We start from the raw sequence: 17,445 nt of genomic DNA on the forward strand, positions 1-17,445 counted from the left end.
CTTCCTCTTTGGGGGACCTCAATCTTTTCTCTTAAGACCTTCAAGTAATTGAAGAGCTCCCCACTCACCTGATGGAGGACAATCTGCTTTACTCAAAAGTCTCCTGATTTGAATCCTAATCAAATCTAAAAAATACCTTCACTGCAATATCCAGACAGATGCTTCACCAAACAACTGGGCATCATAGCCTAACTAATTTTGACACATAAAATTCACCATCACTGTGTGTGTGCATCCTAGTGGTTCTGCTTGTCTGATTGAACCCTGACAGATTGATATAGGTGTCCTCATCTTATTTTTAAAAATCTGCAAAGTTTCTGCATGCTCTCCTTTGATAATTACTGCTATTCCTCACTCCATTAAAATAACACCCAACAGCTGAGAGAAAATGCAGTGCTTGTGTTAACTGCCCTGACAGGCCCCAAGCCTATCTGCTGGGGGCAAGATAGGAGCTCCCCACAGGTCCTCACATTTAAAATAGTGGTTCTCAAACTTTAGTGTGAGGCTAGGCTAAGCTCCATCAGAGCCCCCGAGGAGTCTGTTAAAACACAGACTTCTGGGTCCCACTCCCAGAGTTACTGATTCCATAGGTGATATGGTTTGGCTCTGTGTACCCACCCAAATCTCATGTCAAATTGTAATCTCCATGCTTTGAAGGAGGGACCTGGTGGGAGATGACTGGATCATAGGGGCAGTTTCCCCCATGCTGTTCTCATGATAGTGAAGGAGCTCCATGAGATCTGATCGTTTCCCCAGCTCTCTCTCTCCTGCTGCCTGTGAAAAAGGTGCCTGCTTCCCCTTTGCCTTCTGTCATGATTGTAAGTTTCCTGAGGCCTCTCCAGCCATGCAGAACTGTGAGTCAATTACAACTCCTTTCTTTATAAATTACCCAGTCTCAGGCAGTTCTTTATAGGAGTCTTAGAATGGACTAATAGAGTAGGATTGGGGTAGAGCCTGAGATTTTACATTTTCTAGCGAGTTTTCAGATTATATCTATGCTAGTGGTTTTGGGACCACACTTTGAGAACCACTTCTCTAGGATACCTCAAAGCCTGGGTCAGTGAACTTTAGCACTGCTGTCAGAACAAATGCTAAGAAATCAAACCTTAGGTAAAAGGAATACTAATGTTCCACCTTGATTTGGAAACACTCTTAACTCCCACTCTGAAAACATATATTTTATAAATCTCCTAGGTATATGCCCAAGAGAAACAAGCATGTTTTGTCTACCAAAATACATGCACAAGAATGTCCATAGCAGATTTTTTCACAGTACCCTAAAACTGCAAACATAAATATCCATTAACAGAAGAATAGATATATAAAATGTTGTGTCAGAAATAAAGAAGAATGATTTTGTATTATATGTAGCATCATGAACAAATCACATATATTCTGTTGAGCAAAATAAGCCAGACATAATAGTATACACTGTACAAGTCCACTTAATAGTCACAACAAGCAAAACTAATTGATGTGGTGGCGACAGGATTAACTGGGATGGAGACGGGGGACCCAGTGGGGATGGTGGAAACGTCCCTGATCTGATTCTGAGTTTTGGTTACCTAGGGTGAGATTTGAGTACTTCCTGCAAGTCATAGCTAAGCTATTTTATTTATTTTATTTTTTGAGATGGAGTCTCGCTCTGTCACCCAGGCTGGAGTGCAGTGGCGCAATCTTGGCTCACAGTAACCTCCACCTCCCGGGTTCAAGCAATTCTCCTGTCTCAGCCTCATGAGTAGCTGAGACTACAGGCACATGCCAGTACGCCTGGCTAATTTTTGTATTTTTAGTAAAGATGAGGTTTCACCATATTGGTCAGGCTTGTCTTGAACTCCTGACCTCAGGTGATCCGCCCGCCTCAGCCTCCCAAAGTGCTGGGATTACAGGCATGAGCCACCGCGCCCGGCCTGTAGCTAAGTTAGACCTCACAGGACTGACTTTTCCATTAGGCAAGGGAAGCTCAGTACACAGGGTCCACATGGGTCCCATGTAGAGGCCCATGAAAATGTTTTAATTTCTTCTAAAACCAGCAGAAAAATCTGTAATCTAGCCTGGATTATATTGTCTTTAAGCCAACAGTCATAAGATACAATTTTTAATATTTGTTATGGAGGAATGGACCTCCAATGGCGAAAGCGTCTACAATCCACAAAAGTCATAAGGCAGCCCTGATACCACATTTAAAAGCACAGATATGCACATTTTTTCTGAATAGACATAGCTGTAGAAAGCATTTAGGATTATTTTGTCACCCAACCTGTTGTAGTCTTTAACAGCTTTCATTCCCTACAAAGAAGTTCTGAAAGGCGAAATGATTCCACACATCTGTGTCAGATACAAGGAAGACAGAAAGCCAAGAGACAGGACGGGCTTCCTCTACTTGAATGTCATTTAAACAGAAAGAGAGGGTAGGTCTGAGATCCACTGGACTGAAGGAGTTCTGATGTAGGTCTTCCTGGAGAGGAAACTTCAGGAACACTAGAAAGATGGAGGCATGATGCGTCTGCCACCTTGCTCTGTAGCCCCAGCCAGCGGTGATGACAAAAGGATGTAAGAGGCCAGAGAGGTTCCTGGGTCAGCTTTGCAGCTTTGCTCCAGGCTTTTCTTTAACTTTTATTTTAGGTTTGGGGTACATCTTCGGGGTCTGTTATATAGGTAAACTCATGTCACACGGGTTTGTTGTACAGATTATGTCATCACCCAGGTACTAAGCCTAGTACTCAATAGTCATTTTTTTCTGATCCTCTCTCTCCTCCCACCCTCCACCCTCAAGTAGGTCCCAGCGTCTGTTGTTCCCCTCTTTGTGTCCATGTGTTCTCATCATTTAGTTCCCACTTATAAGTGAGAACATGCAGTATTTGGTTTTCTGTTCCTACGTTAGTTTGCTAAGGATAATGGTCTCCAGCTCCATTCATGTTGCTCTAAAGAACACGATCTCATTCTTTTTTTCTGAGCCACTCTTTGCACTTCCCATTCACTGGATTGGGAGGTTGGAGGGACTGAAGGGAGAAGCCTAAGGGAAGACCTCTGTGCTTTACAGACCTGATCCACCACTCAGAAGTGGGGCCCTCACTGAACATTCACCAGTGCCCCGCCCAGTGCTCTACTCTGTGGGCACACAGAGATTTATAAGACCCGTCGGAGTCCCTTTCCTTGGAAGACTATAATTCAGTGGTGGAGTGGTGTACACAGGGGAGGGATCAAATGCTAAACTGGGGTTACTGGACAAATGCTTTGGGAAGAGACAGATCAAAGCAGGTTCCCTGCTAGATAGGATCTAGTTTCCTAGCTCTAAATTGGGGCCAGAGTTTATTCACTTTTTTGAATGAACCAAATTATTGCTCTTTTCTTCCTTTAAATAACCTTCATATTGCTATATCACAGAATATTTTATTAGTGCTGTGGGGTTTGGGTTTCAATTAAAAACCCTCTGTCCCCAAGGACATGAATCCTTTTCTAATAACACTGAAGATTAAAGACAGTTAGAAGCTAAAGTACAGTTGGTCTATACAATTGAAAATAGCCTTGAAGAGCAAGTATGCACTTTTTAAAACCTAAGTGCATTGTTACAGAAAAGTTATTATTTGTTTGGAAAAAAATAAGAAAAATCATTGTCATGCCATAGCAACCAGACTGGTAAGTAATACAGAACAGGCTGAACTGATAAAAATATCTGTGAAAATGTCCAGATTGATGAAATATTCTAAAAATTATTTTAACAAAATAGTGAACAAAATTAAATTGGCCTAATTTTCCATACATGCCATCTCATGTTTTATTTTTTTAAAGCTAAAATATTCACTTTGAAAATGATTTTAGCACTACCATCTGGTAAAAAAGAAAGTGCAAAGCCCTAGACGTTGGACAATAGGAAGATACTCTGTAGATCTAAGGAATAAAACTTCAACATTCTAATGGCAAACAAATACGTACATAGCCCAGCATTTACAGCTGATACTTCCCCATGCTAAGTCTTCAAAGTAATAGTTTAGAAGTACCTACAGCCTTTAAAATGAGTACTAACTTCTTCCCCACTGTTATTATTTACTTCTCTTTTCAGGATTTCAAGCAGATGAGCACTGTTGCTTTGCCAGCTTGCAGAGGAAACAGAATTTCCAATTATAAATTCTAACATTAGATGAGCAAAACCCTGATCCAACTCTAACAAGGAAATTGACGGTTTTATAACAGCAGTGTTTTAAGGGAGAAACTGCCAGCATTTGTTGGTATAGATTTAGAAGGGAACTTGCTTCAGGTCAGCTGTCAATCAAGGGCTCTTTGTGTTTTCAGAGTAGACTCTGAGAAAGCGAGTTACAAAGCTGAGCTACTCCAGAAGATAGTTGAGTATTTTTCTATTCTTCTATGAGCAGGAAAGACAAAGCAGTGAATTGCTTTTTATGGGGCCTAGTGCCCTATCATTGCAAGGGTGTACTGGGGAGTGCTTTTGAATCACATCTTCACTCATTCACTCATTCATTCAACGTTGATTGAATTAGACAGATGGGACCCATGCCAAGCACTTGCTAGGTCTTGGAGATGTGACAATGAATAACACATAACTCCTTCCATGAGGAGTTTAGGAAATAAATTTGGACACGTAAGCAAATACTTTTTTAAAGATTATGCTATAACCCCTAAAAATTATTAATTATATTAATACATTATATTACCATCAAATTTATAATACAAATATTTAAATTAAAATTAAATGTTAAGTAAATATTTAAATTAGTAATTTGTATTAATATTAAAATATTAACTGTGATATAAATATGTAAGATTCTTTTAGGGCTCATAAAGGGAGAATAGTTTATTCTCCCTGGAAGAGTCAAGGAAGGCCTAATAAAGGAGTGATGATTTTGCTGAAATTTAAAGATTGGTAGGTTGTATGAAATCTACCATACATGGTGTAAGGAGGGAGGATCATTTCAGACCAAAGGGATACTGTTAGGAAGGTCATGGAAGCATGAAATGGTTGTGGCTGGAGTAGGGGACACAACGGTGGGTTTTGAGGGGCTAAGAGGTAGGGGACCAGGTTGCAGGAGATGAGGACCTTGCTATATAAAGCTGTGTGATTTGTGGAGAGTGTGGATCTTATCCTATACATAGAGGACAGCAATTCAAGGGATTTAAGCCAAGGAATAATCTGCTCAAACCTACACTGGCATATGTAGAGACTGAACCCAAGTAGGAAGCAGGTAGTGAAAGCATCAAGGAGGCAACAGTAGTAATTGGGTTAATAGGTGAAGAGGGCATGAACAAAGGCACAAGAGAGGTTGAAGAGGGGACGTTGGAACTGGCAGGATTTGGAGGTCAATTGTATTATTGGATGGAAGAATGGGAAGAGATTGGGATGACTTTCTAGTGTTTACCCTGCAGGTGTGGATGGATGGTGGTTCCACTTACTATAATGAAGACATAAGAGAGGATGGGGTTTGAACAGGTTGAGCTACTGAAACTAAAGGATCCTCGAGGGCAATGCCATGTCTTACATCACATTTGATACTCCTTACTTAAGACAATAACTATAATATAGTAACTTTCAATAAATAGTGAATGAATAGATGAACTGACTGAAGAAAGAAGCCATGTCTGTTTGACATCTGGTAAACCACTGACCATTCAGGTTAGACACGTAGATCTGGAAGATTGTTTAAAACTCCTGCTAGGGGAAGTAGAAGAGATATGGGCCAATAATAAAACTTTAGAGAAATATCAGAATAAAAAGGTCAAGCACAGAAAAAAGAGACAGCAAAGGAGTCTTGAAATTAACAGGTTGAAGAATGAGAAGAGATATATCTATATTGTCACATCTCTCCGTGTCAAATCCTAACACTGCCCTTTTCTATTGAGACTTTGAAAAAGTATTTAATCTCTTATCAATTGCCTCATCAATAAGATATGAATAATAATGCCTACCTTATAGGGTTCTTTTGGGGATTGTCCATATATGAATGTGTATAACATATAGTAAGTGCTCAACAAATATTAACCCCATCACCTTTTTAAAATATAACAAACACAACATCACCTTGGAGCCCCTGGAGTTGAAAGTTTCAGTTCCAACACTTAGTAATCATCTCAGGATGTCCAAGACCTGATGTTGTAACCTGCCTTTCGGTTAAGACACCAATATAAATACAGACATTAGGAGGTGAACGTGTGGCAATCACCCGGCTTTCAAATGTTAAAAGATCTTTTGTGCTTTCTGCTCCTCTGGATATCTTAATTCTTGCCAAGTGCTATGATAGCATTTTTAAAAATTGAGTATTTGCAAATATCTGAGGCTGTATAAAGGGCCTACTCTATAACAAATAAGAAATAAAATTATAGATGGAAACTCTATACTAAATAGTACACAAAAGAGACACAGATAATGTGTACTAAAATCATTGAAAGCAAATGATAGTCTATACTTATTTAAATGTATTGCTATTATGTAGTAATTTCTGAGTGATTATTATGACTTAAATCCCACTTGTTTCGTGGATTCAATTTGTTTCTGGCTGATGTACATCTCTTTCAGTACTTCCATCAGATCCAAGAACTGTATAAACTCTTTGCTTGTCTCAAAATGTCTTTATTTGGTCCTCAGTTTTTAATGAAATATTTAGTGAAAGAACTTGGATACTGAGTTCTTATTTGATATCCACTCTCTGTCAACCCTTTGAAGATGTTATCCTATTGTCCCTGTCATTGACTGTTACAAGTAGATTGCTGCCAGTCTAATTGTTGTTCTTTTGTAAGCTCTTTTTTTCTCGGGTAGCTTTTAAGGTTTTGTTTTTCTCTTTGATTTTCTGAAATCCCACTATGATGTGTCTAGATGTGAATTTATTGCTATGTACCTTACACAGAACTTAGATTCTTATAGTTACAGGTTGCATTCTCCAAAATGAGATACTGTGATGAAGTGTGGCTAGAAACATATTTATTAGGGTGGCAACACCTGGCCTCCCTTCTAGGGGGTACTATCACCCTCACTGCAATCATCAAATGAAGTTCTATTACAGCCTCTCTTACTGTCAGCTCTCATCTGCAGAGAACCACCATGGAATGTTAGTGATGCTGATAGCCCTCCCATTGGCTCTATGGGACATCCTGTGTGGCTTTGATAAATGGTGCATCACCTAGGATGGTTATAGCACATAACATCTGGCCAGATGCCTAACCACGTGCAGAATATCCATTCTGGTTGCTCACTTCCTGGGGCCTCTTAGTCCTTTTCTTCTTGGCAATGTCTGCATCAGTGATTCTAGCATTTCAATGTCACTCAGTATGGGCCATCATTTTTTCCATGCACTTGGAGGCATCCTAGTAGCAATTTTGAACCATTTATTGGGATCTTTGCCAGGATTAAACTTCTTTATTCTATATTTCAGGAGAAGATTCCTAAATATACTTACCTGCCCAATTTTATATTTTGGTGCTCTTGATCAAGTACCCGCAGAATCCCGTCCCACATGTTACTCTCCAGTTCCTGCCAGGGCATGTTGAGCAGGGCTTGCAGCACCTTCTCCAGTACAGTCCCTTAGGCCCAGCACATCAACAGCTGGATTGTGCTGCACCTTAATTATTGGCCCCACATCCAAAAGGAGATGTGGAGGCAGATTCTGGAGACAGGAGGAGGACAGGTTGCCTTGGGAGAAAGTCCTTAGCACTTTCCAGGGCACTTTCCATGATTCCAGAGTGCTGGGAAGCTGCTGTGGAGACTGGGGATGCTCACTCTTCATGGGGAAGACTGGGTGACATCTGCAGGCTCAGAAGGCTGGAGGAGTCTTAAGAAGTCAAAATCTCCAAGGGCGTCCACCTAGATGTTCCCACGCCATGTGGTCTGGGGCCCAACTTGGCATAACAGACCCATCCTGGTGGGGCATTTGACAGCCTATGAAGTTCGCCCCTCACACTCTCAGTTTCTGGGCTTTGTTCTCATTTTTCTCCACCTTCCTGCTAGAGGAGAAAAATTCTTTCTGCACAACCACAGAAGACCCCTGGCTTTCCCACCTGGCTTTCTGTTGCTTCTAGTTTATCCTTAGCCTCTCTCCATCTCTCTGGACATCATCAGTGTCATTTAGCAGCAGACGCTCAATCTGAACAATCACTATTTTGTCCATAATTTATTATTTTTATGTATTTTTATTTCTTTAGGTTTTGGGGGAACAGGTGGTATTTGGTTACATGAATAAGTTCTTTAGTGGTGATTTGTGAGATTTTGGTGCACCCATCACCCGAGCAGTATACACTGAACCCAATTTGTAGTATTTTATCCCTCACCGCCATCCCATCTTTTGCCCCTGAGTCCCCAAAGTCCACTGTGTCATTCTTACGCCTTTGCATCCTCATAACTTAGCCCCCACTTATAAGTGAGAACATACGATGTTTGGTTTTCCATTCCTGAGTTACTTCACTTAGAATAATAGTCTTCAATCCCATTCAGGTTGCTGCAAATGCCATTAATTCATTCTTTTTTATGGCTGAGTAGTATTCCATTGTATATATATACCATAGTTTCTTTATCCACTCATTGATTGATGGGCATTTGGGCTGGTTCCACATTTTTGCAATTGCAAATTGTGCTGCTATAAACATGCACGTGCAAGTATCTTTTTTGTATAATGTATTTTGTCCATAATTTAAATGCATGAGATAGCCTATACATCAGAGCATTCCTTTCCACTGATTCACCCTCTCAATTCACCACTGGTGAGAGAGTTTTAACAATATGCCAACTTGTGCCAGGGGCTGTAGAAAATAATAACAGAAGAGGGAGTGCCAATCATTGCTGCCATACATCTGAGACACTGTGACATCTCATTTCATTAGTAAGCATTAACTGTTGACATTTGGGCTTTTCCTGGAAGCCGGAATTGGGATTATTTTTTCCCTTAAATTCATTTATGCTGGCTTCCTGGAGTCTGTATAAAGATTTCAAGAGAATCTTGCAGTAATTTACAGATACCATATAGCCTCTGCCAACAAGAATCCCACGTACAGTAGTCCCTTCTTATCCACAAGGGACCCAAGACCCCTGTGAATGTCTGAAACCACGGATTGTACCAAACCCTACATATTATATACTGTCCTTTTTTTCTATACATAAAGTTTAATTGATAAATTATACACAGTAAGAGATTAATAACTAAAAATAAATCAATTATAACACTGTATTGTAATAAAAATTATGTGAATGTGCTCTCTCCTCTTTCTCAAATTATCTTACCTAATTTTGTACTCGCCTAATTTGGGACCATGGTCAACCTCGGGTAACTAAATCACGGAAAGTGAAAACACAGATAAGGGGGGACTACCATACCTTCAAAACAAGGAAATTGATGTTGGGGTGTTTTGTATCATAATTTGCACTATTCATTGTAGATTGCTAAGTACTTGTTAAGACACTTAAAAAGAAAAAGAAAAATGTCCTTTCAAATGGGCAACAAATATAAGTCTTTTGACCTTAAACAACCTAAACACAAACACAGTTTTAAGTTATAATGACAATATTAGCAAAGGAAATCATCATTTAAGGTAAATTATCTGTGAGATGAAGAATGCTCCTCACTATAAAGGCAGAACTGCCTAACAAGGGCATGGACAGTTCAGGTCTCTGCTGTGACAAAGAGCGCTGCATGCACCACCCCGTGAAGCCAGGGAGAGGCACCGCCAAGTGCATTCAAGGACTCAAAGGAGCACACACTTGTGCAGCCAAGAGAAGCTAAGTATATGGCAAATGATCCAGCCCTCTCTCCAAGGGGAGATTTCAAGTAGGGTATTTTCAATTACTCTACTGTCTATGCAAACTTTGCAAGGAATTTAATTGGAACAGAGTATTTAAGGGGAATAACTAATGATACAATTGATTGGTAATGACCAGTAGCTGCACTCGTAAAACCATGGCGCATTCTGAGAATGGCATTTTTGCTCCTGGAAAAGAAAGTTCTAATTATAATGTTTCAGCATTCAAAACTCTGGAGCTTTTAAATGTTCATGTTCTTTTAGAGAGGAGATAGACTCTAACGGTTTTATAATTGTATGTTAGCAAATGTTGACAGCACTGGAAATCAATAGTCTGAGTGCTCTGCTCCTCTTAGCTGGCATTAACTAAAATAGCCCTTGTACTAGATCAACTGTCTGGTTTGTCTGGGAAGCAGATTTTTCTCTACGTATAGTCCTAGGTCAAGACAATGGCTTAGGTGTATTTTATCAAGGTGGAGAATATACTATGAAGGCACTGTTCAATTTCCTTTCTTGGCTTCTTTGTATAAAAGAAGACTGATTACAACTATGAACTTTCAACATTGCAGATTCTATGTTGTCTGACTAGTAAATGTGAAATCACAACATCTATTCACTGTTAGTTTAAGGCAGGACGGATATGCACTATTATCCAATGTAACTTCAGGCTCTTTCTAGGAAAGATGTCATACCAAATAAAAATTTTCTCAGCAACTGAAATGTCACTGAGTTATAAATTATCACATTGTATATAAATTAACACATATCTTGCTCACATATTCTGACATAATTTTCAATACTCTGAGTGTTTCTTAATGTATATACATTGTGAGTACTGTAGTAAAAATGGAAATTATTTTTTCTAATTTTTTCACAGATTTTATTATTTTCCCTTTTGTAAGCCATTCCATGCTAGTAGACTATCAAGCCACAACTCATAGGTAATTTCATCCTCACGTTTTCCAAACTTCTAAATTTGCCTTCATAGTTCAAGGTCAGATTTTGACTAAGTGAGAATGGAGTGAGTGGGAGGAAAAAGGAAAAGCATGAAACCACCTTTGTGAGGGTGATGTGTGTGGGGAGAGGATGAAATGGAAACAGTAGAAAGGAGGAAATGGTATGCAAAAAGTCTTAGACAAATTAGGCTTTTCATTCTTGGGCTGTGAGTCAAATGCTTTATAACCCTTTACCACTGTCCTTCAAAATGCTCATTGGCTCACAGATGGTTTACCAGTCTTCACCTGTTCTCTATTCTTTATTATTATTATTATTATTATTATTATTATACTTTAAGTTTTAGGGTACATGACATGGGCACAATGTGCAGGTTAGTTACATATGTATACATGTGCCACCTGTTCTCTATTCTTTAGACACTTCTATGAATGGGATAGTCATTATGACTCCAGGATGGAAATGAGTCTCTAGGCTTCAGGTGGAACTGTGCCTCACAGAAGAGTAGTTTGAGAAATGCATCTCCCAACAAACCCATTCAACTTACAGATGAGTAAGGAAGGCACTAGAGAGGTAGATTTAACACCAAGATGAAAGCTCAAGAATGCGGTGTGATAGTTAATATTGAGTGTCAACTTGATTGGATTGAAGGATGCAAAGTATTGTTCCTGGGTGTGTCTGTGAGGGTGTTGCCAAGAGAGATTAATATTTGAGGAGTGGACTGGGAAAGGCAGACCCACCCTCAATCTGGGTGGGCACAATCTAATCAGCTGCCAGCATGGCCAGAATAGAAGCAGGCAGAAGAATGTGGAAAGACTAGACTGATTTAGTCTTCTGGCCTACATCTTTCTCCTGTGCTGGATGCTTCCTGCCTTCGAACATCATCAGACTCCAAGTTCTTCAGCTTTGGGACTCCTGCTGGTTCCCTTGCTCCTCAGCTTGCAGACGGCCTATTGTGGGACCTCACCTTGTGATCATGTGAGTCAATACTCCTTAATAAACTCCTCTTATATATACATCTATCCTATTAGTTCTGTCCCTTTAGAGAACCCTAATTCACATGGGGTTTGGAGTCCAATAGCCTGAGGATGGGTGCCACCTCCACCACCTACTAGCTGTGTGATCTTGATGAGACTAATTTAATTGCCTCTTTAAACTTGAGCATCTTAATTTGCACAATGGGATGTGATTCCTATGCCAAAGGAGAAATGAGATAGACGTGTTGTGTTCAATGCATTCACATGCAGTCAGTGCTCAACTAAAGGCAGTTGTGGTTGAGTTTCCATGTCTCCTTCCCTTGTACCTGCCATTGTTCTTTCCACTCTACTACTTAAATTACAAATCATAAATTAAATGAGTGCTCTACTTATAAAAGTATTTGCCACATCATTATTTAGAGTTATGTTCCCCAATTATGTTGAATGGTCTATTTATACCCTACTAAGTACTTGACAGAGATGTGAGAGAAAATTAGAAAAGGAGAATGTCAAGTTTTCTGAGCTACCACTAAAAAAAAATGTTAATCTGGAAGTAAAAATCCCTGAAAGTATCATGAAGAAATAAAGAAGCATAATCTTACACAACTTATCAGGAATACATTATTATATGAAGAGGTACATGTATGTATTCTTGTCCTAGGGCAGCTATAACAAATTACCATAAGCTAAATGGCTTAAAACAGCAAAAATTTATTATTTCATAGTTCTGGAGGCCAGATGTCTGAAATTAAGGTGTTTGCAAGGCCATTCTCCCACAAAAGGCTCTAGGGGAGAATTCTTCCTTGCCTCTTTCTCATTTCCAGCAATCTCTGGCACTTCCTGGCTTGTAGCTGCATCCTCCAATTTTTGTTTCCGTCTTTATATGGTTATCTTCTGTGTCTGTCCAAATCTCTTTCTCCTTTCCCTTATGAACACACCAACCAGTGGATGTAAAACCAACCTATTGAGTATGACATCATCTTAACTGTATTAGCAAAGGTGCTATTTCCACCCAAAGTCCCATTCACAGGTACTAGAGGTTAGTATTTTAACATATATTTTAGAGGGACACAACCCACTACCATGTGTAAAATCAAAAATGTGCTTTAAGGTAACAAGGCCAATTTTGATGCAGGGCTAGTGGAATTCATCTTGATACCTTATAATTGTAAAATCAATCATAATAATAAGATGTATTTAAAGTGTAATAACATCAAAAGTACTTTTTAAAGTATTAGTCTTATAAACATTTATTTTCACCCTCAAACCTGGTGTATCTCATCTTTAATACCCAGAGAGATGCAACAAAGACCATGAACCTTGGTTAGTGTCCTGATTCCACTGCTTACCCTATAACCTTATTAATCATGTCAACACTTTATTAAACTCTGTGCTAACCACTTTACAAACATGATCTCTATATCTTCATGCAACCCCATGAGGGAGGTAGTATTATTTCTACTTTATAGATTAGGATTTGGAAGTTTTTAGAGAAGTTAATTGCCTTGTCTAAGACCAAACACTTAGTAAATTCTGCTGTAAAGACTTGAGCCCTCGTCTGTCCAACCAGGATGTGCACTTAACCATAATGCTCTTTTTAATTTGAGCAGAAATGTTATTTCTAGGAGCCTCTCCAAGCTTTAACTTCCTTCCAAGCAGTCTGTGATGGTTTGACTCTTTCAGCCATGACTCTGCCCTCTTGGTGTGCCTTCCTATAATGCAGAGGCTGGAAAGCCTAAAACTGCATCCCACAAATGCTCTTGCAAGTAGGGTTCTGGATGTTAGGCTCCATCACTTAGAGCCTCTCCTGTGTATCTAGGAGGCCAAAGTGAAGCAGAGGCCATCTCCTTGCCATCTGGGCTGCTTTTCTGCTAGCAAATCAAGTTGTGGGAAGTGAGGTTTGGGAGCAGATTTTCAGCATTCATTCTCCAGGTCCTTGGGTTGTAATAGGAAACATGGATGAAGGCAGTGGCTGCACTTCCTATCCCAGTGGCCAGTCATCAGCTCCGTGAATGTAGAGAGCAGGAAGAAAAGGCAGCTTTCCGCCTAACTTCCTGATCCTTGTATTGTGCCACGGTGGAGTGTTCTTGAACTCAGAAGTTCCAGAGGCAGCTTTGGCAATAGTCACTTCCTTGATGGTCAGTTCTGAATTATTTGGGGAGTTACCATTGATGACTAAGACTAGAACCCATTCCTCTAGCCCTTCCAAACATTCTGTAAACATCTAACAACCTGAAATGGTTTCCTATCAAAACCTCTTGGAATGGATTCTATTTTATGCACTGAACCATCCTTGATTAATACATAAATCAAGATTAATAATCCTTACCCATAGAAGGGTTTTCAGGCTGGACGTGGTTGCTCACGCCTATAATTCCAGAACTTTGGGAGGTGGAGGCGGGTGGATCATGAGGTCAGGAGTTCGAGACCAGCCTGGCCAACATGGCAAAACCCCGTCTCTACCAAAAATACAAAAAAAAAAAAAAAATTAGCCGGGTGTGATGGCAGGCACCTGTAATCCCAGCTACTCAGGAGGCTGAGGCATGAGAATCACTTGAACCCAGGAGGCGGAGGTTGCAGTGAGCTGAGATTATGCCATTGCACTCCAGCCTGGGTGACAAGAGCAAGACTCCATCTCAAAAAGAAAAGTGTTTTCATAAGAAAACTGAATGGAAAAATGTATATAAATGTACATCACAGTGTCTATTTTATTAATTTCCTTGTGTATTTATTTCTCAGTTCTTCCTATAAAATCAACGGACACTATCAGCCTGTGTTATATATACTCAGCATTTTCCCACAAACACATATCAACATAAAAATTGCACCAAAAGTGTATGAACTTGAAAGATAGAACATTTATGTCCATTCTCCTGTCTTGTTTTCTCTTGGTTGACATCCTTCATTTATGCGACATTTACGGAGAGCTTGTTATATGCCAGACATTGTGTTATGCTTATTTACATAGTAAGACTGTTTTCCTGCCAAACTAAAGGCATTCTCTAAAAAAGATTGAATTCCCACTGGAGATGAACCCCAGGCTCATGAATAAATTCTTGACAACCGAGAAACATTTCAGGAACATGAGACGATGTTCACTTTGTGATCTGATCCCAGCAAAGATCCTCTCGGTGGAGTCAGATCTGCTGGAATTTTGCTCCTTTAGGAAGTTCACTGTGATTAAAACAAATGGCCAAGGACTAAGGTAATGCCCTCCTAGAAGGACTATCTTCTTATTCATGTTGAAAATGGGGTTTTGCCCAGTGCTCAGCCTACTGGCCCACTCTGCAGGCTGATAACAGCCCCCAAACCCATCTGTCCTGAAAGGCCAGTTATATCAGAGAAGCAGGAAAGGCAGGATACACAAGGGAAAGAAATGTTTTCCCAAATTAAAAACTACCTAAGACAATAAGGATAGCCAATAGTCCCCAGGTCCACCAAAGATGTGGCATTTGACACCATCATTAAAGAAAGGTGACTTCCCTCCCTCCGGTGCTGGAATCAGGCAAAAATCGGGAAATTACTGCAGCATTCCTCTCAGACTGTGACCAGGTGGGTCTCAAGGCTGAAGTATGGTCTGAGAAAGTCCCCCAGAATTTTCCCTAGTAAAGTCTAGGACAGTTAGGGAACCTAAAAGGTTGGTTCTCCCTTTTTTGAGCACCCCACACATATCTCTAACTATATCTGTGGGCTCACTGTTCTGAAAAGACACCAAGTTTTTCCAGACAGAAAGGGTCCAATGACCTATTTCTGGTGACCAAGAGAAACATAAAAGCCTCAAAAACCTCAAACACAAAATACTCCCCACCCCCTACATACACACATGCTGCGATTTTGTAAAAATGTAATTCGTTGGCTGTTGGATTCGTTTTCTTGCTAAACAAAGGCTGCTCCCTGTTTCCTCATATGATGGGCATAATTACCAAAGTGATCCAAGTCTGCACATACTATTTTCCTTCCATTCACTGCAAGTCTGGAACAACAACAAGAGAAGTGACACTCCCAGAAGTGGAATTAACACACACCCCACATACTGCTTTCATGTCTCCTCTGGCTGCCACCTAAAACAGAGTTACAGATCCTGACCCTCCCCATCCTCAGACACAAGGATCACAATTGATCAAACATTGTGGCAGGTGATTGTTTGGAGGAAGACTGAGATAAATGTAAGCTTTTAAAAACAGCTGGTGTTCTTACTTGAATTAAGAGTTTCGAGATCAAGCTATGCGATAAAGAAGTGTAATCCCTGACCATCCCTCTGATCTGGATTCTTCTCTCTGCTACTATGGAATATTTGTCAGTGTCTACCATTTGAAGACTAGGAGGAGGAGAAGGGAACCCTCTGTCTTCCCTCAGATTTTCACTGCCACCTCCACCCCAGCATCTCAGCTGAAATCCACATCTGTTCACAGAAGCCTCCATACTTCCCCAAGTCTGCCCATACACAGGCTTCTGGAGAGATTAAGAAGTTTGACATGGAGAAAGGGTGGAACAAGATGGCCAAATAGAAGGCTCCACTGATCTTCCCCCTCACACGGATACCAATTTGACAAATAGGGTGACCTAGTATTTGCTAGCACAATAGGATGCACAATAGGTGACAAATCAAAAATAATTTAATTGTACATTTTTAAATAACTAAAAGAGTACAGTTGGATTGTTTGTAACACAAAGGATAAATACTTGAGGTAACAGAGACCCCATTTACCCTGATGTGATTATTACACCTTGTATGCTTGTACCAAAATATCCCATAATGCCCCATAAATATATATACCTATTATATACCAACAAAAATTAAAAATTTAAAACAAAAGTTTTCTAGGTACTCCAGGATGGTGATGGTGTTAATGAGCACTGGCTAACACAGGGGCAGGCTGAGGGTGAGGCAAGAAGCAGCTCAAATAGACCCTTTGCAATGGACTGCAGCGGAGCCACGTGGGGAGATGTGGCATTGGTTGTCCACTTACAGTTTTGCTTTTTGAGTGATTTTTATGGTCTCTGCAAGCCTTCTGCAAGGTTTCTTGGATGTGCTTTAAATATTTAACTAAGAAGTTAGTGCCTATCTCACCTAAATTGAAGCTGTGCAGGAAGACTGGTAGCAGTATGGCAAAGAGAACGATCTGCAAGAGAATGTTAGAGCCATCCAGAAAACAGGTGACTGGTGTCAACAGAGTGGATTTGTAGAACACATGAGCAGTTTTAAGGGAGTTGCAGAAATACCTGGGTTGAGACGCAACAAAGTCTGCCTGAAAAACTTTGCCTTGTAAAAGGAGTGGCCACTGAAGGACCAGAGATTCTCTTTGTCCCCATGGCAAGCTAAGAACTTGAGAAGACTTTGGCATACTGTGATCTTGCCATTTCAACTAGACCTCAGAGGATCTAATGGATTCTCATCAACAGCCAGCAGTTCACAGGCTACTTTCTGAAAACAACTGATTCACCAAAACTGAGCCCTAGAAGGCATAAGCATGTGTGGCCATCTCCTGTGGCAATGTCACAACCTGAAACAAACAAATAAAAAAAGCAGAGAGTCCATATGCCAAAGATCAAGGGTGCAGATGTATCCGGGCATTCCCATTGGGACCTTTATTGTGTGAGCCTGAGAAGGACAGTGAATGCAATGTATTATAGGTCCAAGGACAACCAAGCTACTGGATAAGAGAAAGGATGCTGGTCTGAGTGAGAATCTCAACTTCAAGCCCTTAATCAGAATATGCTCATCTAGTTCTGTCTCAGTTCCCCTGTTCATAATGGCAGAAGAGAGGCAAGGGACTCA

General features: G+C 40.2%; 1 long non-coding RNA gene across 2 annotated transcripts in view; it reads right to left on the reverse strand.

Moving 5' to 3' along the window:
- LOC105370324 (uncharacterized) overlaps nucleotides 1-17,445 on the reverse strand; it is a 179,291-nt gene that overhangs the window by 18,774 nt on the left and 143,072 nt on the right. The window lies entirely within an intron of this gene.

Source organism: Homo sapiens, chromosome 13, assembly GCF_000001405.40.
Source record: "Homo sapiens chromosome 13, GRCh38.p14 Primary Assembly".
NCBI classification, from domain to species: domain Eukaryota; kingdom Metazoa; phylum Chordata; class Mammalia; order Primates; family Hominidae; genus Homo; species Homo sapiens.